Source organism: Homo sapiens, chromosome 11 (genome assembly GCF_000001405.40).
Source record: "Homo sapiens chromosome 11, GRCh38.p14 Primary Assembly".
In the NCBI taxonomy this organism is placed as follows: domain Eukaryota; kingdom Metazoa; phylum Chordata; class Mammalia; order Primates; family Hominidae; genus Homo; species Homo sapiens.
Window position 1 is genome coordinate 97553466 of NC_000011.10, and position 22245 is coordinate 97575710.

At 36.5% G+C, this 22245-nt stretch overlaps 1 annotated feature.

Moving 5' to 3' along the window:
• Window positions 20123–21322: an enhancer, noted in NCBI's record as "CDK7 strongly-dependent group 2 enhancer chr11:97444588-97445787 (GRCh37/hg19 assembly coordinates)". NCBI's record gives its function as "activates an origin of replication core promoter dependent on BRD2, BRD4, P300/CBP, MED14 and CDK7 cofactors, with strong dependence on CDK7, by STARR-seq in HCT116 cells {active_cell/tissue: HCT116}" and the evidence as "EXISTENCE:reporter gene assay evidence [ECO:0000049][PMID:35650434]".

Sequence of the window (22245 nt, forward strand, 5' to 3'; positions counted from 1 at the left end):
GCTAATTGTGTAAGAAAATACAAAAAACAATGTATCACAATAAGAACATTGAATCCAGGCAGAAAGATTGGGTAGTAATTGGTGAAGGTGAACACAGAAATTAGTATACGTGACAATAGTTCAATATAGTCCTTAATTACTGATAAAGATAATTTTAATTATTTTGAATGATTATATTTTAATGAGTCAATAGTTCAAACAAAAACAAAAAACAGCTCTTTTTTCTCCTACTTCCAATTCTCTCATGCATTTACTTTATGCTACCGTATAATAAAAACATATGTATAAAGACAGAGCTGGCATTTGTTTCCTTTATCCTGAAAGAATGAGGATTATATGAGTACTACATACATACAGCAATACGGAGTTTCCTGAAACTTTGCTCAGGACAAACGTAGAATGTATTCAGTAATTTGGAAAATAGAAGAAGAAGATTATAGTCCTCATTTACAATAAAATAAAATCTCCCATAAAGGTAAAAAAGCTGTTAGTGTATTAAAAATGGAAAAAGTAGGCATATCTGACGGTTTGTATGGATGTGCATGTGTTGTAAGTGTAAGACAGTTTGCTAAGTTTTCCTTTGTCAAATCACCTGCCCTATCATGTGTTCTATGAAATGATTCAGTATGTATGGTCACTTGGTTCTCCCTTATAGAATTAGTTTCATTATCATCACCATTTTACTTTTACTTTCAATGTAGTGATTTCTTGATGCATTGTTAATCTCTATTATATTTTGTTAGAGATTTTTTAAAAAGGTATTTACCTAAATTTAGAGTTAAGAATATTTGGCCAATAATACTAACAATATTTTGGGGGCTCAAATTAATCGCCTTGTTTTCCCATTTCCCATTAAAGAGAATGATATCACATGAAAAAACAGAACATACTGATACACCAATATAAAAGTGTATCTTGTAAATAGTTTATGCCAGCTTTGATTCTAAAACATCTGGAATTTTATTTGCCACCTCCAATCTTTTCTGGAGTACAAACAGTTGTGTTTTATAGTGGCACTAAATCAACATACATCTTCCCTGAGTTTGTCTGCCACTCTTTAATACTTAGATTCTTGAATGTTCGTTGTCAGTAAAACAACTAATGCAAGCACAATGGGGGGCAACAGGAATCTATAGGTAAGGTAAGTGTTTTAATAACATCAGCCAGTGTTTGCAAGAAAATATTGCCAGTTGCTATGGGCATACAATTAGTGGTGACTGCAAATGCATGCAGGTATAATCATTGCTCTCTGCAAAAAGCTGAACACTATTTTGTCATTTATAGGAAATTTGGAGGATGATCCATCAGCTCAATTGAATAAGGAAAGTCTATTTAAAATGCTGAAATGCTGACAATTATTGTAAAGAAATCTAGATTTCTTAATATTTTTGTCAAAAAAAATTCACCAACAGTATGAGAGACTAATATAGCTAGCATCTCGCACTTGTGGGTCAGGGAAGACGGGGATGCATTAAATACAAGCAGGATGGTCCTTCACTTGATGACATGGCTATTTAATATTGAGTATTCCCACTCTAAACACATATGCTTCAGAAGAGAACTTCATATTAAAATAAATTTTTAAATCATTAGATAATATTAAAGCTTTAAAACATAAATGATTCCTTGTAATAAACAATGCAAATATTTGAGAGTTTCTTTTGGTGTGTATATGTATCCAACATTTAATAAAAATATTATGAAAACCACTATGAGTTTTTTTCTTGTTTCTGGACCATTACAAAAAAGATGTTACCACTATCTTTCTACTTTTTTTAACCTTATGTAAGTACTCTCAGAGGAGTCCAATTTACGGCTATTTTGAAATGGTAACATTGTTCTAGAGTTATATATTATCCTCTAAATAATAGAATTCCAGTGAGCTGGAACAATCTGCTGCAGCTGATGTTTTAGCAAACAGACTATTCCGTGAAGCACAGTTGGAATTGCATCCAACTGTCAAGGAGATCCACAGAGAGTATACCTAAGGATCTATATTGTCTGTGTCCAGGTAGAAGGGTAACAAACATCATTCCTAATATTTTCTGGTTGTTCACTGGACTTCTCTGTGGCTGAAAAAACAGAAATTTGCTAATTAGTTAGATATGAGTTTATGTGCTATGTAAATGTGCATTTAATCGAATTATTTCTGGATTCAGTAAATGAGGCTTAATATCAATGTGCCAATGGGCTTCCTTTGAATACTGAATTTCCCTGAGACTTAAGATGTTTAATTGCAGAATAGGTGACCATTTAAAGAGATGCTATAGCTGACACGGAACCACTTGAACTTTACACAAACTTTAAATATGTTTTCAACCCTAACATTTTATTTGTATTTTAACTATAACTTAACAACAGTCTCATGAAGCAGAAACTTAGGAGACAAATCAGTGTATATGAGAGGTAACTTTTCTCTAAATGGTTATTTCAAATATAATTGCTTTATTAATGTTTTCAGCAAATGTTTATTGAGCTTCTACTATGTCCAGTATCATATAAAGTACTGGGCTTATCTCTCTAAATGTGACACATATTATCCCTGACTTTGTGGAACTTAGGATTTAATGAATAATATTGATTTTAAACACTTAATGATCACACTTGTGATCATTCAAGTGATAAAAATAGGGTCTATAAGTATATATTACAAGGGTACCTGATTTCATTCCTTGAGAACTGAAAATGGCTTTTCCTGAGTAAATGTTTAAGCTGGGTACTGAAATAGGAGTTATGAAGTGGCCAGGTAAACACAAAGCCAATTTAATTCATGTTAAAAGGACAAGACAACCAAAGACAGTAAGGAAGGAAGGGAGGGAGGGAAAGACGGAAGGAAGGAAGGAATTAGGGTAACCTGGGCCAGACGTGATACTAAAGGAAAGTAAGGCATCAAGCTTAACTCTCCCACGTATATTCCTTATGTCTCATTATCATCAGAATATATAGCATCATGAAAAGAGAACTATAGCATCATGAAAAGAGAAACCGCTTTGAAATCAGACAGATATATAGTTAAATGCTTTCTGTTCCTTTACTGACTTTGTTACCTTGGGAAACAGTTATCCTCTCTCTCCCTTATTAAGGTTAAAATAATAATAGATTGTTAGCAGTGTTGTTGCAAGGATGAGAGAGATCATTTGAATAGGGCTCTTTGACAGACCAAAAATTCTCAATAAGAGTTGACAAAATGGTGCTGATATTAATGTTGCATCATGAAAAGAGAAACTGCTTTGAAATCAGACAGATATATAGTTAAATGCTTTCTGTTTCTTTACTGACTTTGTTACCTTGGGAAACAGTTATCCTCTCTCACCCTTATTAAGGTTAAAATAATAATAGATTGTTAGCAGTGTTATTGCAAGGATGAGAGAGATCATTTGAATAGGGCTCTTTGACAGACCAAAAATTCTCAGTAAGAGTTCACAAAATGGTGCTGATATCAATGTTATCATCCAATGTTAAGATGGCATCGGCCGGGTGCAGCGGCTCATGCCTGTAATCCCAGCACTTTGGGAGGCCAAGGTGAGCGGATCACAAGGTCAGGAGTTCGAGGCCAGCCTGGCCAATATAGTGAAACCCCATATCTACTAAAAATACAAAACATTAGCTAGGCATGGTGGCAGGCACCTGTAATCCTAGTTATTCAGGAGGCTGAGGCAGGAGAATCACTTGAACCCAGGAGGCGGAGGTTGCAGCAAGCCAAGATCACATGACTGCACACCAACCCAGGCAAAAATGCGAGAATCCCCCTCAAAAAAAAAAAAAAAAAAAAAAAAGGATGGCATTGTATTTTTGAGCAGTTCAAGAAACTGAACAGGGAGATACAGCTTGCTGTTACTTTATTGGGGAATGTTCGATAATTATTTTTGCATATTTAAAATCCTTTCCCATATACTTCTTTACATAATATTTTTGTTGTCATGTTTTTCTGGACTCTTTCTTGTTACTGAAGTAATTACTCTTTCTAATCTAGACAGGCAACGTATTCCTGCTCCTTGATAGATGCATGGGCAGGAAAAATCCTGGTATTCCCAACCATGAGTGATTTTTTAAAATGTAATCATTTTATTCATCTTTTGTCCAGTGATTCATTTTGGAGAATGCAAGTCTGCTTTTCAAAATGCACATATGCGATGGGCCACTAGAGGACCTAAGACATTTCTGTAAACAAACAGATCTGCATACCAGTAATGACCTTAATTGACAGGCAAACATTTGTAATAATAGCTGGAGTAAATAAGTTTTTCAGGGAATGTTACAAATTTAGAAAAGGAGAAATGACATGTTATATGTTGTTTTCCATATTTAATATTTTCTATGGAAATAACTTTATAATTTAATTGGTAAAGTATAAAAAATAGTTAAAGCATGAATTGCTGATACTGTTTATCTTATGAGCCACGAAGAGATTTTTGAATTTCTCATTGTCACAGAGAAAGTTAAAATGAATAATACATTTCTTTTCAGCCTTCAATAGCTAGAAAATGAAACAAATTGTTTTTAAGAATATAACTAGTTATAAGACAAACAATCAGGTAATGAGAGAAGTCACACATTTGCCAACCTTTTGTGTTTGAGCTTCTGTTACTTGTTAAAAAAATCATTCTTATAAAATGAAAATGTGTGTGAACATGATACTGTGCAAATATATGCAAATGTTTAATTGTACATTTCTAATTTTGAGCCTCAAAATCTTAAATTTATCTCAAATGTACCTGGTTTTCAAATCTTCAAATTAAATATATGCTTTTATCATGTTGATTGTTTACAATTCAAAATGGCATTGTATTGACCATTGAATCTCTCTTAAGTATAGCACAGAAGCCTATTGGTAAAATTTGAATTCATTAAATTTACTGCAGCAAGGGAAAACATAACTTGATATAGTGTCTCTGAGGTAGGCTGAGAAATGATATTTACAGGTTTTTGTGTGTCTAGGCTCATGTGATTTAAGGAAGGTGTTTCAGAGAGAGGAACTGATATGGATTGGACAAAGTTTATTCGATAATTTGAAGAAAGTACCAAAACCAAATTGTTTTGAAAAGTGTATAAAATACGTGTTATCTAATAAGCAGACTGTTTGCCCATGTGAGCAGTCTATTGTTTCAATAAGAGAGGTGTCTGTACAGATGAGCAAACTGCTTGGACAAAGTGGTTTGCAGGAACTTCCTGAAGCAAACAGTAAATTTCTTTGGTTTAAATTCATGTTTTCTTTGTTAAGAATTTCCTGAAACAGTTTTGTTAACACAGGTGCTTTACTGAGTTATATTTATGCTGATTCTATCAATTCTCAGGATCCCCATTCCTACCCCCCAACTGTATGTCATTCTCCAGCCTAAACTGGAGGATGTACTTCTACTATCTGGGAATGTGATCAGATCAGATTTCCACCTTATTATTATTGTTATTTTCAAAGACAGACGGAGTCTCACTGTATTGCCTAAGCTTGTCTTGAACTCCTGGGCTCAAGCAACCCTCCTGACTTGGCCCGAGTAGCTGGGATTTATAGACATGAGCCACCATGACTGACTCAGATCTCATTCTTTATATGAGAGCATCTGTGTCAATGTGTTGAATTGTCTTGGCTGACAAAATATATGTTGTTATATTTACATCATATATTCCTGAGAATTACCAGTCTGTAGTGTTAGGTATCAGTGTTATGCATGCTTTATAGAAGGGCTTGGAAAGATCTTCTACCTTTTTAATGTCTCAAATAATTTACATAATATTTGGATTATTTAATCTGTAAATATTTGGCAGAATTTCTTTGAGGTCTTGTAGGTCTGATGATATTTGGCGGGGTAGTATCTTAATAATGACCATAATTTGATTTTTACTTTTTAGAATAGGTAATCTTTCAATAGGATCAACTTTTATAGTCTATTTTCTTAGGAAATTAACCATTACCTATAAATGTTCATATTTATTTGTACGGTCTGCATATTAGTCTTATGATTTTTGAGTCACTTATTTTTAATGTTTATTTCCCCTTCACATTTTTTGTTTTACTAGTGCTTTCTCTCTTTTATTCTTGAGCAAGTTAGCTAGCAACTTCTGAGCTTCGATTTATTGATTATATCTAGAGTTTTGGTGTGTTTTTTTGTTTGTTTGTTTTTTAAACAGAGTCTTCCTCTGTGACCCAGGCTGGAGTGCAGTGGCATGATCTCGGCTCACTGCAACTTCCGTCTACTGGTCTCAAGCAATTCTTCTGCCTCAGCCTCCTGAGGATTTGCAACTACAGGCATGCGCCACCACGCCCAGCTGATTTTTAGTATTTTTAGTAAAGATGGGGTTTCATCATATTGGCCAGGCTTGTCTCGAACTCCTAACCTCGTGATCCGCCCACCTCGGCCTCCCAAAGTGCAGGAATTACAGTTGTGAGCCACCGCGCCCAGGTGATTATATCCACAGTTTTTCTATTTTTTATTTTTTATTTTTTTTTTTATCATTAGTATCCCCTCCATTCTCATTTGATACAAAGACTTTTTTTTCTTTGTCTAGCTTTTGTGAGGGGATATATTAACTTTTATTTTCATTCTTTCTGTATTATTAATAAACTTTTTAGTAACAGGAATTTTCATCTACTTCTGATTTAGATGTACCATGTATTGTGATGTATAGTGTATTCCTTGTCATTAACTTACTTGATTGAGATAGGATCTCGCTCTGTCTCCCAGGCTGCAGTGCAGTGGCACAATTATAGCTCACTTCAGCCTCAAATTCTAGGGATCAACTGACCCTCCAGCCTCAGCCTCCCAAAACCCTGAAATTACAAGTGTGAACTACCACACCTGGAAAAATTTAAATTTTTTAAATTATCTATCCATCCTTGTCTTTTTATTTGTTTTGAACTTACATGTATATGGAAACATTTTAAGATACTCATCATTAAGACCTTTGCTGATGTTTTCTCAGGCATCATTTTGTTGAATGAGGGACATTCTCTGGTGTATTTCTCAAGAAGGGATAATGGATGCAGAGTTTCCTAAGTTTATGTTGAATTTTTTTTCCTTATAACCCTGTTATTTTAAATACTGAATGGCTTGATATAAAATCTTTCACCTTTGTTCACTGAATTAAAATAAGAAGAATGTTGCTCCATTGTTACCTTGCTTTGGATATTGGTTTTGAAAAGGCTGATGCTAGCTTAGTTCTTTTGCCTCTGAAAGTTGTAATATATTTGCCTTGGGGATTTTAACTTTGCTTTTCAAATCTGAGTATTTTGCTTAGCTCTTTCTCAGAGTAGACCATTCCCCCACATCTCCCGTCTCCGTATTCCCTATCCCCTCCACCCTGTGTCTTTCCACATAGTCAATGTGCCCTTCCAAATTTCAGACATTTTCTGAAAATATTTCTTATAGTTTTAAATATTAGATTTGCCTTTTTCACTTCTTTAAGGACTTTGAAAGTTTGACTATTGCTTTCTTTGCCAGTTTTCCATGTCTGTTGTTTCCCCCGACCTTTTTTACTTCCTCATGTTTCTTCCTCCTTCTGTTTCCTTGCCTTTGATTATTGCCACTTATTAATTTTTGAAGCTGTTCTATATCATGTAATTTTATTTGAGATAATCTTGAGTTCAATTAACTCTTTTCCATTTCTTCCTAATTTTTGTATGCTTGTTTTTAAGTTTTTGTAATTCTGATTCCTAGTTTTTCATACCATTACACACTTGTTTATATATATTTGCTTCTCCTTGGTGTGCCATAGTTTTCTTCTGGTTCATGGTTGTTATTCAGAGGAAGAAGTTTTTCTTTAGTTAATATATGTAAAATTATCTTCTTGTTTAGAGTAATCTATAATATCCCTAGTTTAATGGCACATACTTCTGTCAGTATATTAAAATCTTGGTTGTTTGGTAGGCTTAATTTGTTTCATGATGGTTGGGAGAATCATTAGTACTCCAATTTTATGGTTTGCTTTTGTCTTTTAGAACTGTAATATTCACATTTGCCTTTTTTTTTTTTTTTTGCCTTCACACCTGAAATTCTAATGGGTGCTTTTTACTTTTTCTCTTTTATTTTAAAGTATATTTTATTAATTAACACATAATAATTGTGTGTATATATATTAGGAGGTATAAAGTGATGTTTTGATACATACAATTTATAGTGATCAGATAAAAGTATTCACCTATCAATCCTCTCAAACATTTATCATTTCTTTGTTTTGGGAACATTCAATATCCTCATTCTACCTATTTGAAGCTGTATAACATATTAATCTCAACTCTAGTAATCTTACAGTGCTATAGAACGCTAGAACTTATTCTTCTATTTAGCTATAATCAAAATATGGTACTGGCATAAAAACAAACACATAGCCCCCCAGTGCAACAGAATAGAGAGTCTAGAAATTAATCTTCATGTCTACAAGCCAACTGATTTTTGACAAAGATTCCAAGAACGTACATTGGGGAAAGGACACTCTTCTCAGTAAGTAGTGCTGAGAAAACTGTACATTCATACACAGAAGAATCATACTAGACCCTCTCAGCATACAAAAAAAAAAAAAAAAAACTCAAATGGATTAAAGACTTAAACGTAAAACCCAAACCCATAAAACTACTAGAAGAAAACATATGGGAAATACTTCAGGACATTGGTCTGCAAAAAGATTTTATGAATAAGACCTCAAAAGCACAGGTAACAAAAGCAAAAATAAATAGATTATATTAAGCTAAAAAGCTTCAGCACAGCAAAGGAAACAATCAGAGTGGAAGAACAACCTACAGAATGGAAGAAAATATTTGTAAACTTGTCATCTGACTGGAGATAAATATACAAAATATACAAAAACGTAACCGTTGATAGCCAAAAAAACTAAACAATTCAATTTAAAAATGGGCAAATGGGCTGAGCATGGTGGCTTACGCCTAGAATCCCAGCACTTTGGGAGGCCGAAGTGGGCAGATCACTCGAGGTCAGGAGTTTAAGACCAGACTGGCCAACGTGGTGAAATCCTGTCTCTACTAAAAATACAAAAATTAGCTGGGCATGGTGGCACATGTCTGTAATCCCAGCTGTTGAGGATGCTGAGGCAGGAGAATTGCTTGAACCTGGGAGGCAGAGGTTACAGCGAACTAAGACCATGCATGGCACTCCAGCCTGGGCAACAAAGCAAGACTCTGTCTCAAAAAAATTAAAAAAAGAAAAAACGGGCAAATGATCTGAACACACATTTCTCAAAAGATGACACGCAAACGGCCAACTCATGTATTTAAAAATTATCAACGTCACTAATCATCAGGGAAATGAAAATCAAAGTCACAATGAGGTATCATCTCATTCCAGTTGGGGTGGCTATTATCAAAAAGACAAAAACAAATATACGTCGGTTGTTTATATACCCGTGGGTTGTTTGTACACTGCTGGTGAGAATGTAAACTAATACAGCCACTATAGAGAATAGAGGTTCCTCAAATCTCAGTTTTGAAATATGTTTTCAAAAGATAATAGATTTTAATCTGACAGCTTTTAACTTTCAGTACTTCAAAAAAGTTTGTAGATGTCTTTTGCATTATTAAAGGAAGAGACATCTGCTATCATTCTGATCTTTTTTCCCCTCTATTTAACAGGTTTTCACCACATTAAATTTTCTCTTTACTATAGTTTTTAGCAATTTGATTATGATATGACTTGGTATAGTTTTCTTCGTGTTTATTCTGCATTGGTTTCATTGTACTTCTTGGATATAAGAGTTTATATTAGTAAAATTTGGAAATTTTAGTCATTATTTCTTTAAATACTTTCTCCAGTCTCCAGCCCCATTCCACTCGGGGACTCCTATTATATATATATATAAGGTCATTGGAAGTTTTACACAGATCACTGATACTCTATTTTTAAGTCTTTTTCTCCCTATTGAAGTTTATTAAACTTGTTTTCTGCATTGTCTAATGTGGCATTAATCCCAACCAGGTTATTTTTTTATCTTAGTCATTGTAGTTTCTATGTCTAAATCTATGTCTCCTTTGTTTATCTATTTTTCAAATTTTTGCTTAATATTTTGACTTTCCTACAGCATCTTAGACAATACCAGTTTTACTTTCCTTTTTTTAAGTATCTATCCCTTGTGGGTCCTATTTTCCTGATGTTGTATTTTACTTTGTTATTTGCTTGATAGTTTTGTATTTTTTATTTTAATTTTGTGCTTAATTCTGGTAGACAGTTAAGTTACTTGGAAACAGTTACATTCTTTGTCATATTTCTTTTAACCATTATTTGGTAGAACTAGAGGAGTGTCTGGTCTAGAGATAAGTGTGTGCCACTACTTTGCCAAAATCTCTTTAAATACTTTGTTCAACATTACGTGGTTTATGAAGGTTTGGGCCATTTTGGGTGAGAATAGCATTTTTTCCTTTTCCCTTAGGACTTCAGGGGATTTCTTTCCTCTAATTCTTCTGGATGTTTCTTTCTCTTTCTCCAGCGTTATATAGCTTTATTATCTACTTCACTAATTAGTACTCAGCTGTAGACTCAATGGTGACCCTCTTCACATCTGTGGAGCCCTCTCCCTTTGGAGCTCTGACACATTGTTTATACATTAATGAACTGATTTTTAGGTTTTTTTCCCCTAAACTGTTTTCTCCATTATCTATTGCAAAAGGTCATTCTGGTTTCTACATTTACAAACATTATTATTTCACTTTTCTCGACTTAAAGTGAAATTTAATTCAACTCAGCATATAAAAAGTATTTCTTCTATGAAGAAAACATTATGAGAATATGTCCTTGCTGTCGCATACTAAAATGTTATGTATGATCTAAGACCCAAAACTAGTAAAGCCTCAATTAATCACTTCCATTCTACTGCAATCCATACATTCTATTTTCTGAATTTCAGTAGTAGCCAGCAACCATCAAAAGGTAATAAACTAACTTCTTTGCTCAGGTTTAAAAAAAATGTGGATTTGGCTCTCTGACTATATTTCTTCTTATCAGCAACTTCTCTGTAGTAAGTATTGTACAGAGCTTAGAAAGCTAAAATTTATATTTATTAGACAGCCTTTGAAGCTAGCATTCAAATTAGCTATTCTGATTTCAGAATTGAGTTAATACAGAGAAGATGAAAAAATTGAGTAATATATTTGATAATATGATCCTTAGTAGATATAGGAAGACCTTGATAATTTTCCATTTTAATAGTTCTTACTTTTGTATCATAACAAGACAGTACACTTGGATGTTTTATCTGTTTAATTTTTTGAGAATGATAGTTCAATTTAGTTTGTGTAGTCTTCCCGATGAGTATATAAACCGTTAACAGATATTTCACAAAATTAAGAATCACTTCTAAGAGCAAATATTTTTAAACTATTTAACTCTGCAATTGAACACACTGACACTTTTCCCTACAACACTAGTCATGTACTGTAATTCTGTAATAAAAAAACTATTATTTTACTTCAGCAATGTCTCTGGTAACACCAGTTATGTCAACTTGAGAAAATATCTTAAATTATCCAATTTTCTGTATATTCTCCCCATCCCCTTTTTTTGAGATGGAGTCTTGCTTTGGAGTGCAGTGGAGCAATCTTGGCCTACTGGAGCCTCCACGTCCTTGGTTCAAGTGATTCTCATGTCTCAGCCTCCCAAGTAGCTGGGACTACAGGCACGCACCACCACACCCAGCTAACTTTCTGTATTTTTAGTAGAGATGAGGTTTCACCACATTGGCCAGGCTGGTTTTGAATTCCTTCCCTCAAGTGATCTGCCCGCCTCGGCCTCCCAAACTGCTGCTGGGCTTATAGGCATGAGCCACCGCACCAAGCCCATTTCGCCTCATATGAAAATATATTTCTTTTATCAACCTTACTTGCTTATATATGCTAGCATGCTGAAACAGTACTGCAGTACTGGGTACCTGGAAGTCACACAAAAATTACTTGCTACAAACATTAAATAAATGTTTAATTTAAACATGTTTACATTTAATTTTAAATGTTTACTTTCTAAGCAGTAGCAGAAGGTGACAGAGGGCCTGGTGTTTTCTTACTCCAACCTAGAACAACAACAACAAAAAGGCAGCCAAGGTAGCTTCATTCTTCCCCAGATAAAAGAATGTTGTAACAATACCAGTCCAGAATCTTCATACTATATCTAAACAGGGTTATTGTCTGCTAAATAGTTTAATAGAACCCAGAGACCTCTTATGTTATAGAAGAAATGTCCAGGATACAATTTTTAAAAATTATAGTAAGAACCAGGAATCACAACTTGAATAAGAAAATCAACTGACACCAACACTAAGATGAAACCAAATGATGGGATTATCTGACCAGGATTTTAAGGTAGCCATCATAAAATGCTTCAGTTTCAAATTATCTCCAAACAAAATTGAAATTTCAACAAAGAAATAGAAATTATTAACAAGAACCAAATAACATAGAATTAAAAAAACATAAATTTTAAAATGTGCTCAGTGGGCTCAAATTACAGTGGCAATAATTAACATGAGGATAGATCAATAGAATTTTCAAAATCTAAACAACACTGAAAAAGAGACTAAAAATAAAAAAACAAAGCCTCAGGAAACTATGGAACTGCAAGAAAGATTAATTATGTACAGCATCAAAATCCTAGGAGAGAAGAAAGTATCCAAATAAGTAATAGATGAAAACTTTTCAAATTTGGCAGAAGACAAACCTACAGATTCAAGAAGCTGAGCAAACCACAAATGGAAACAAAAAACAAGACACATCAAAATTTGCTTTGAAAAGCAAAGACAAAAAAGTCTTGAAATGTCCCTGAGAGAAATGACACATTATCTACAGGAGAACATCAAATTGAATGACAGATTTCCCACCTTAAATCATGGAGGCCAGAACAAAGAGGTACAGAATTTTTTGTGTGCTGAAATAACTTTCAACATAGAATTCTTTAACCAGAAAACTCGTCTTTAAGAAATGAAAAAGAAATAAGGATGCAGAAAAAGAAAAATTAATACAATTTGTCTGTGAAAAATCTATCTTTAAGATTGGGTAAAGGAATAAACTCAGCATAAAGAAAATAATTTTTTAAGGTAAACTTAGACTTCCATTTCATGGTCTCACATGTAAGGAGCTTAGAAGTGCCTACTCCATCTTCAAAATAAGAGGAAATCTTATCAAACTGAAAAAAACATCAACTCTTTTTAGATCTGTCAAAGAAGTGATATCATGGGGCAAACCACTGTGCCAAAAATTGGAGAGAGAGACAGGCAGGTACAGAGAATCACAACTTCATGGAGCAGAAATGTATGATCAAAAACTTCCATGGGAACCAGTGCTGGGGTAAGAAAGCCTGAACTATAATAGATAAATTCTGGATGCTCAGTACTCAGTATTGACACGCTGAGAGTTAAATACTCCAAGGGGACCCAGTCATGGAGGATGGGAGGTGTTGTACTTTTGTGAGTTTTACCTTCAGGGGTTCTACCAGGTCCTCACAGTGAGTATCACAAAAAAAAAATAGGTAAATAAAAATAACGACAACAACAATAACAAAAAAACACCCTCATGACCCCAGGATGTGGAGGGAAAAATGAATAATTTTGAAATATACCAGAGCATTCTGTTCTTCTTAACAAGGCCTTACCTTAGGAGAAACTATTTAACCAGAGCCTGATCCACCTGGAGGAAAAGAAATATCCTAATCCAGCTGGCTCTAGCATTTCATGTGGAAGAAATAAAGTATTCAACCCCAGCTAGTCCTCTCCAGCCATCCTGTCTAGCCTAAGCGGTGATGGAGGAGGGGCAAAAATAACTGAAAAGTGCTGATGACTTCACAGTCCAGGAGCACAGACACATCAAAAGACAGAGATCTAATCATAGGGCTATAGAACATTTCCCCTTCCCCTAAACCTTAACACTCCATTACTAAAGGCCTATATACCGTACCACCTTTGTTCTAGTACACTCTGACTCCCTGTCCTCCTCCCCAACAAACACCAAAACTACAGGACATATTAAAAGGCAGAAAAATATAGTCTGAAGAGACTGAACAAGAATCAGAACCACAGTCAAATATGGCAGGCCAAGTACAGTGGCTCATGCCTGTAATCCCAGCACTGAGACATGTCTTGATCACTTGAGGTTGAGAGTTCGAGACCAACCTGGTCAACATGGAGAAACCCCATCTCTATTAAAAAAAAAAAAAAAAAAATACAAAAATTAGCCAGGCATGATGGCAGTTGCCTGTAATCCCAGCTACCTGGGATACTGAGACATGAGAACCACTTGAACCCAGGAAACGGAGGTTGCACTGAGCCTAGATCATGCCACTGCACTCCATCCTGGGTGATGGAGTGAGACTCTGTCTTAAAAAAAAAAAAAAAAAAAAAAAAAAAGATAGAAATATTGGAATCATCAGATTAAGTTTTTTAAAAAACTTAAATATTCTAACTTCTTTAATAGCCAAAGTAGACAACATATAGAATAACTGGATAATATAACTAAAGAGGTGCAAATTCCAAGAATAATCTAATATTAAAAAAAGCCTCTGTTGGGTTTATTATGACTATGCATGGCTGAAGAAAGAATGACTCAGCTTGAAAATATGACATTAGGAACTTCAAAAAAGAAAAAAAAAGACTGCAAAAAAAAATTAGTCAATAACAGTGGGACAACTACAAAAGGTATAAATGTGCAAAATTAGAATACCAGGAGGAGAAGAAAGAGACAGTAAGAAAAAAAATATTTGACGAATAATGACTAAAAATTTCACCAAATTAATGCCCTAAACCTCATAAGACCCAGGAAGCTCAGAGAACACCAAGCAAGATAAATGCCAAAAATAAACTACACTCAGGCATGTATGTCATATTCAAACTTGAGAAAAATCAAAGACAAAGAAAAAAATATATTGAAAGAAGCCAGAGGAAAACAATACCTTACCTACAGAGGAGTGAAAATAAGAATTCCATCTGACTTTTCAGAAAGCATGGCAACAAGAAGACAAGTATGGAGTGAAATATTTATAGTGTTGAGAGAGAAGAAAAAAAAAAAAAAAAACAAAGAAAAAGCCTGCCACACCTGTAATCCCAGCACTTTGTGAGGCTGAGGCAGGCGATCACTTGGGCCCAGGAGTTTGAGAACAGCCTGGGCAACATGGCGAAACCACATCTCCACTAACAGTACAAAAATTAGCTGGCATTGTGGCACATGCCTGTAGTCCCAGCTACTCAGAAGGCCAAGGTGGGAAGATCACTTGAGCCTGGGAGGCAGATGTTGCAGTAATGCAATAAGCCAAGATCATGCAACTTCACTCCACCTGGGCCACAGAGCAAGCTGTCATCTCAAATAATAATAATAATACACCAAAAAAACTCACTTTATTAGTTCATACTACCTGAGACTGGGTAACTTATAAAAAAAGAGGTTTGACTCACAGTTCCATATGTCTGCAGAGGCCTCAGGAAATTTACAATCATGGAGTAAGGAGAATGGGAAGTAAGGCAGTCTTACATGGTGGCAGAACAAAGATCGAGCACTCAGGGGAAAACTGCCACTAGTAAAACCATCAGATCTCATAAGAGCTCCCTCACTATCATGAGAACAGCACGGGGGAAACTGCCCCCGTGATCCAATCACCTCCCACCATGACCATGTCCCGCCCTCAACACATGGGGATTACAATTTGAGATGAGATTTGGGTGGGGACACAGAGCCAAACCATTACCGTTCCACCTTTGCCCCTCCAAAATCACATCTCCTCTTCACATTTCAAAACCAACCATGTCTTCTCAACAGTTCTCCAAAGTCTTAACTCATTCTAGCATCAGCCCAAAAGTCCAAGTCCAAAGTCTCGTCTAAGACAAGTCCCTTATGCCTATGGACCTGTAAAACCAAAAGCAAGTTAGTTACTTCCAAGATACAATGGGGGTACAGACACTGGGTAAACATTCCCATTCTAAATAGGAGAAATTGGCCAAAACAAAGGGGCCCCAGGTCCCATGCAAGTCTGAAACCCAGCCGGGCAGTCATTACATCTTGAAGCTCTGAAATCTCCTTTGACTCCATGTCTGCCATCCAGGGCTCCCACTGCCTTGGGAAGCTCTGCCCCTATGGCTCTTCAGGGTACATCACCCCTGGTGGCTTTCATGGGCTGGCATTGAGTTTCTGTGGCTTTTCCAGGTATATGGTGCAAGCCGTGTCAATGGATCTGTCTTTCTGCAGTCTGGAGGACAGTGGCCATCTTCTCACAGCTCCAATAGGCAGTGCCCTAGTGGGAACTATGTTGGAGGACTCCAACCCCACATGTCCCTTCTGCACTGCCCTAGCAGAGGTTCTTCAACCCATTTCTTCTGCCCACCCAGAGGCCCACCACCACATAGAAGCCACCAATGCTTGGGGCTTACACCCTCTGAAGCAATGGCCCAAGCTATACCTTGGCCCTTTTTAGCCATGGCTGGAATTAGAGCGGCTGGGATGCAGGGTGCCATATCCCAGGGCTGCACAGAGCAGCAAGGCCCTCAGCCCAGCTCATGAAGCCATTTTTTCCTCCTTGGTCTCCAGGCCAGTGAACAGAGGGGTTGCCACAAAGATCTCCGACATTCCCTGAAGACATTTTCCTCATTGTCTCGGTGATTAATATTTGGCTCCTTGTTACTTATGCAAATTTCTGCAGCAGCCTTGAATTCCTCCCCAAAAAATGGGTTTTTCCTTTTACATGGACAGGCTGTAAATGTTCCAAATTTTTACACTCTCCTTCCCCTTTAAACATACATTCCAATTTCATATCATCTCTTTATGACTGCATAAAACTGCGTGCTTTTAGTACAAATGAGGTCACCTCTTGAATGCTTTGCTGCTTAGAAATTTCTTCTACCAGATACCCTAAATCATCTCTCTCAAGTTCAAAGCTCCATAGATCTCTAGAGCAGAGGCAAAATGCCACCGGTCTCCTTGCCAAAGTATAGCAAGAGTGAACTTGCTCAAGTTTCCAATAAGTTCCTCATCTCCATCTGAGACTACCTCAGTCTGGACTTCATTTTCCATATCACTATCAGCATGTTGGTCAAAACCTTTCATTCAACAAGGCTTTAGGAAGTTCTAAACTTCTGCACATCTTCCTGTCTTCTTCTGAGCCTTCCAAACTATTCAAACCTCTACCTGTTACCCAGTTCCAAAGTTGATTCCACATTTTCAGGTTATTTTTATAGTAGTACCCAACTCTGCCAGTAGTAATTCTCTGTGTTACTCAGTTCTCACACTGGGTAATTTATAAACAAAAGAGATTTGATTGACTCACAGTTCTGCATGGCTGGCGAGGCCTCAGGAAACTTACAATTATGGAGGAAGGAAACAGGAAGCAAGGCAATTTTACATGGCAGCAGGAGAGAGAGAGTGCCCACAGAGAAAACCTGCCAGTCTTAAAACCCTCAGATCTCCTAAGAGCTCCTTCATTATCATGAGAATACTATGGGGGAAACCACACCCGTGATCCAATTACCACCCACTAGGTCCCTCCCTCAACACATGGGGATTACAATTTGAGAGGAGATTTGGATGGGGACACAGAGCAAAACCCTATCAACCACCAATCATGAGTTCTGTACCCTGCAAAATTATCCTTCGAAAGTGAGAGAAATAAAAACTTTCTCAAACAAAAATTGAGAATCTCTTGCTAGTTGACCTATTTTTCAGGAAATGTTAAAAGTTCTTCAGAGAGGCCAGGCGCAGTGGCTCACGCCTGTAATCCCAGCACTTTGGGAGGCCAAGGCAGGTAGATTACGAGGTCAGGAGTTCGAGACCAGCCTGGCCAAAATAGTGAAACCCCGTGTCCACTAAAAATACAAAAATTAGCTGGGCATGGTGTCTCATGCCTGTAGTCCTAGCTACTCAGGAGGCTGAGGCAGGAGAATCACTTCAACCTGGGAGGCAGAGGTTGTGGTGGGCCAAGATCGCGCCACTGCACTCCAGCCTGGGCAACAGAGAGACACTCTGTCTCAAAAAAGTTCTTCATAGAGAAAGAATTTTATAAAGGTCAGAAATTCAGATCAACATAAAGAAAAGAAGAGCACTGGAGAAAAGAAAAGGTAAGGAAATGTTTTTCTTACTGCTAATTGATCTAGCAGATAATAGTTGTTTCAAGATAATAATTATAGCAATAATGTTTTCAATTATGGAAAATTGTTTCTTTGGTGGTGACATTTTTCCTTGATTTTTTGTGTGTTTGAAGAAGCAGTCATCCATCTCCTCCAGTCATCGCTTGCTGGCTTCAGAAAAGAAAGGCATTCACCAGTAGGCCTGCCTGTGGGTTCTAAGAGTATCTCAGATTTTTCTTTTTTTAGGAATGTACCTGCTCCACTCCTCCTGTTTTCTCTTGGGAAAGTGGGGTGGGGTAAAGACTGTTAGGATTGTATGCTTTTTCCCTCAAGGTCAGGCTGAGTGCTAAGAGCCTCCCATTAATTTTCCCTAGTGCAGTGTCCTGAAGCACTCAATGTTAAGCTGCTTCTCCCAATCCAGCAGAGTCTACCTGTCTGTGTGTGTGCTAATACATGACCTGTGGAGGCTTGTGTGAACTGCTTGTACAGAGCATACCCAGGGTGGTAGCTACATGGGAATAGGATGGGAGGAGTTCTATAGGTGTTCATGGGCTAGATGCAAGAGTCCTCAGGGGATGTGTACTACAAAGTTAATGGGTGGGTCTCATTAGGTGCATACATTATAATTGTATGCATAGTGTACACATATATGATAGTTGTATGCATAATATATGCATATATTATGATATTCTATAAATAAAATTCAAAGAAATTTAGATTTAAAAAGCTGATGAGTTTAACAATGCAAAGACTCATCAACCCACAAAAATCAATGTTGTTTATAATTTTACATAGGAACAATGAATATGCAGAAGTCCAAACTAAAAACACAATACAATTTATAATCACTCCAAAGGAAATGGAATGCTTGACAAAGTATATGTTATGTATTTAATAAAATATTTGCAAGACCTGTATACTAAATTTTATAAAATTCCGATGAAGCAACTCAGACACTAAAATGAATGGATACATTTTGTTCATTGATTGAAAGACTCATATAATAAAGATGTGAATTGCCCCCAAAGAATTCTACAAGCCTAATTCAATTTCTATTAAAATTCTAGCATATTTGTGGACATAGACAGTCTTCTAAAATTTATCAAGAATGGCACAGAGCCTAGAATTTAAGGGGTAAAAAAAGAGAAAATATTGACACGGAAGATGGTAAGATTTTTCTCTACCTATTTTTCAGACTTACTAAATACCTAAGTAAGCATAATCAAGAAAGTGTGGTTTGGGCAGGATAGACACATAGGTGAAAAGAATAGAAAACTCAAATAGACACACATGAACACATTCAAGTGACTTTTTATATCAATGTGCAAAAGCAATTTGAAACAAAGTTAGTCTTTTCAAATGGTAGTAGAGCAATTGGACATGCATACGCAAAAAAAAATTTTGAAAATTTCCTCAATAGAAATTTCATGCTTTATTAAAAAATTAACTCTTAGATCAAATGTGAAACAAAAATGTAGGAGGAATTGTTTTGGATTAGAAATAAATAAAATTCTAAGAACTGATACCAAAAACAGTTCATAAGAGAAATAATTGATGAACTGTACTTCTTAGACACAAACACCTTTCTATACATAAGACCAGGTAAAGAGGATGGAAAGACAAGCTACATTTAGAAATGAAGGACAGAAAAGTGGTATACAGGGGTTAAAGATGAGTGAAGGAGAGAAAGGGAAAAGAATTGGGAGAGTCAGGTGTGGTTATAAAAGGACAAAAAGAAGGATCAGTGTGATGATGAAACTGTTCTATATCTTGAATATGATAATGTATATATGAATCTATACAAGTGACATGTTGTGGGAAGTCAGGGAACCCGAATGGAGGGGCCAGCTGAAGCCACAACAGAAGAACATAAATTGTGAAGATTTCATGGACATTTATCACTTCCCCAATCAATACTCTGATAATTTCCTATGCCCATCTTTAATCTCTTAATCCCGTCATCTTCGTAAGCTGAGGATGTACATCTCCTCAGGGCCCTGTGATGATAGTGTTAACTGCACAAATTGTTCATAAAGCACGTGTTTTTTAACAATATGAAATCTGGGCACCTTGAAAAAAAAACAGGATAACAGCGATGTTCAGGGAACAAGGGAGATAACCATTAGTTCTGACTGCCTGGGAGCCAGGCAGGACAGAGTAGTATTTCTCTTATTACCAAAAATGGGTAAGAGAAATATCGCTGAATTCTTTCCCCAGTAAGGAATATTAATAATTAACAGCCCTGGGAAAAGAATGCACTCCCGGGGTGGGGTGAGCGGGGGGCTCTAAAATGGCCGCTCTGGGAGTGTCTGCTTTATGCAGAAGAAACATGCCCTGGTCTCCTGCAGCGCCCTCAGGCTTGCTAGGATTAGGAAATTCCAACCTGGCAAATTCTAGTCAGACCAGTTCTCTGCTCTTGAACCCTATTTCCTGTTAAGATGTTTATCAATGACAGCGCTTGCACAGTGGTACATGAAACTTCATCAGCAATTCTAGTTTCACCCTGGCCTTGTGACCTTGCCCTGCCCATTTGCCTTGTGATATTTTATTGCCTTTGAAGCAGGTGATCTCTGTGAACCACACCCTATTCGTACACTCCCTCCTCTTTGAAAATCGCTCATAAAAACTTGCTGGTTTTGCGGCTCAGGGGGCATCATGGAACCTGCTGACATGTGATGTCTACCCCAGACACCCAGCTTTTTTTTTTTAGTAGAGACGGAGTTTCACTTTGTTAGCCAGGATGGTCTTGATCTCCTGACCTTGTGATCCGCCTGCCTCGGCCTCCCAAAGTGCTGGGATTACAGGCATGAGCCACCGTGCCTGGCCAGACACCCAGCTTTAAAATTTCTCTCTTGTGTACTCTTTCCCTTTATTTCTCAGACCGGCCGACACTTAGGGAAAAATAGAAAAGAACCTACATTGAAATATTTGGGGCTGGTTCCACCGATAGTGACACAATTGTGTAGAATTAAACACACGCTAATACTGTACACATGAGCACAAGTAAAACAGGGATATTGAAACCTTAATGTTGGTTTGTATTACTATCAACATCCTAATTGTGATATTGAATCATAGTTTTTACAATTATTACTATTGGTGAAAACTGGGTAAGGTTTTTCAAGATCTGTTGGTATTATTTCTTACAATTCATGTGACTCTACAATTATCACAATAAAATTTTAATTAAAAAATAAGTGCATGGATATAAATACAAAAATTACATGTCCAAACAAAATGCAATTATGTGAACAATCTTACTATGAAACTCATAGAAGTACCTAGTAAAATATAACATACTAACACCATAATTTTGGTTCAAGAAAAGGGACAAAAATTGATGAGGAAGGATAAAATTATCATGTTACACTGGAGTAATGGGCAAATTTACAAATTTCTCTACTATACAGGATTGGTAGCAGCCACAAAAGTCAAAGAAGTAAAAGAATCAATAATGAAAGATGGAGAGAAAAGTGGAACATAAAGCTAAGAACCACAAATATATTTGCCATCATTGAAAGGATGTACTAAAATAAATCATTCCTAAACAAACAAAGGCAAATGAGGAACTCAGATGATGTACCTTTCTTTTAAATGGTAAGATGCAGCTTCTCAGATTTGTTAACCACAGGTCTTCCCTCACATTCATTTGAAGTTATATATATACCACTTAAATGATTCAGAAACCACAAGCTACTGCCACCCCCAGTTAACCTGAAGCCATTCTGGCTTGGTAGAACTCTGGTATAAATAAAAAGCCCATGCCTAAGCATTATAAAGGCAGACTATAAAAAATGTAAAGAGGGTCTGGTGAGGTGGCTCATGCCTATAATCCCAGCATTTTTGGAGACCAAGACAGGAGGATTATTTGAAACCAGGAGTTCAAGACCAGCCTAGGCAACATGGGGAGATCCCCATCTCTATGAAAAATTACACAAATTAGCTAGGCTTGGTGTCACACACCTGTAGTCCCAGCTCCTCTGGAGGCTAAGGCTGGAGGATCGCTTGAGCCCAGGAGTTCGAAGCTGCAGTGAGTCATAATCGCTCCACTGCACTCCAGCCTGGGTGACAGAATGAGATCCCATCTCAAAAAACAAAAACAGAAGATATTAAATGTAAAAAAGAAAAGACTGCTTACAAAGAAACTACTACAACTGAAAGTAAACTTTACAACAGTACCAAGGAAAGCCAGAAGACAATGGAACAATATCATCAAAG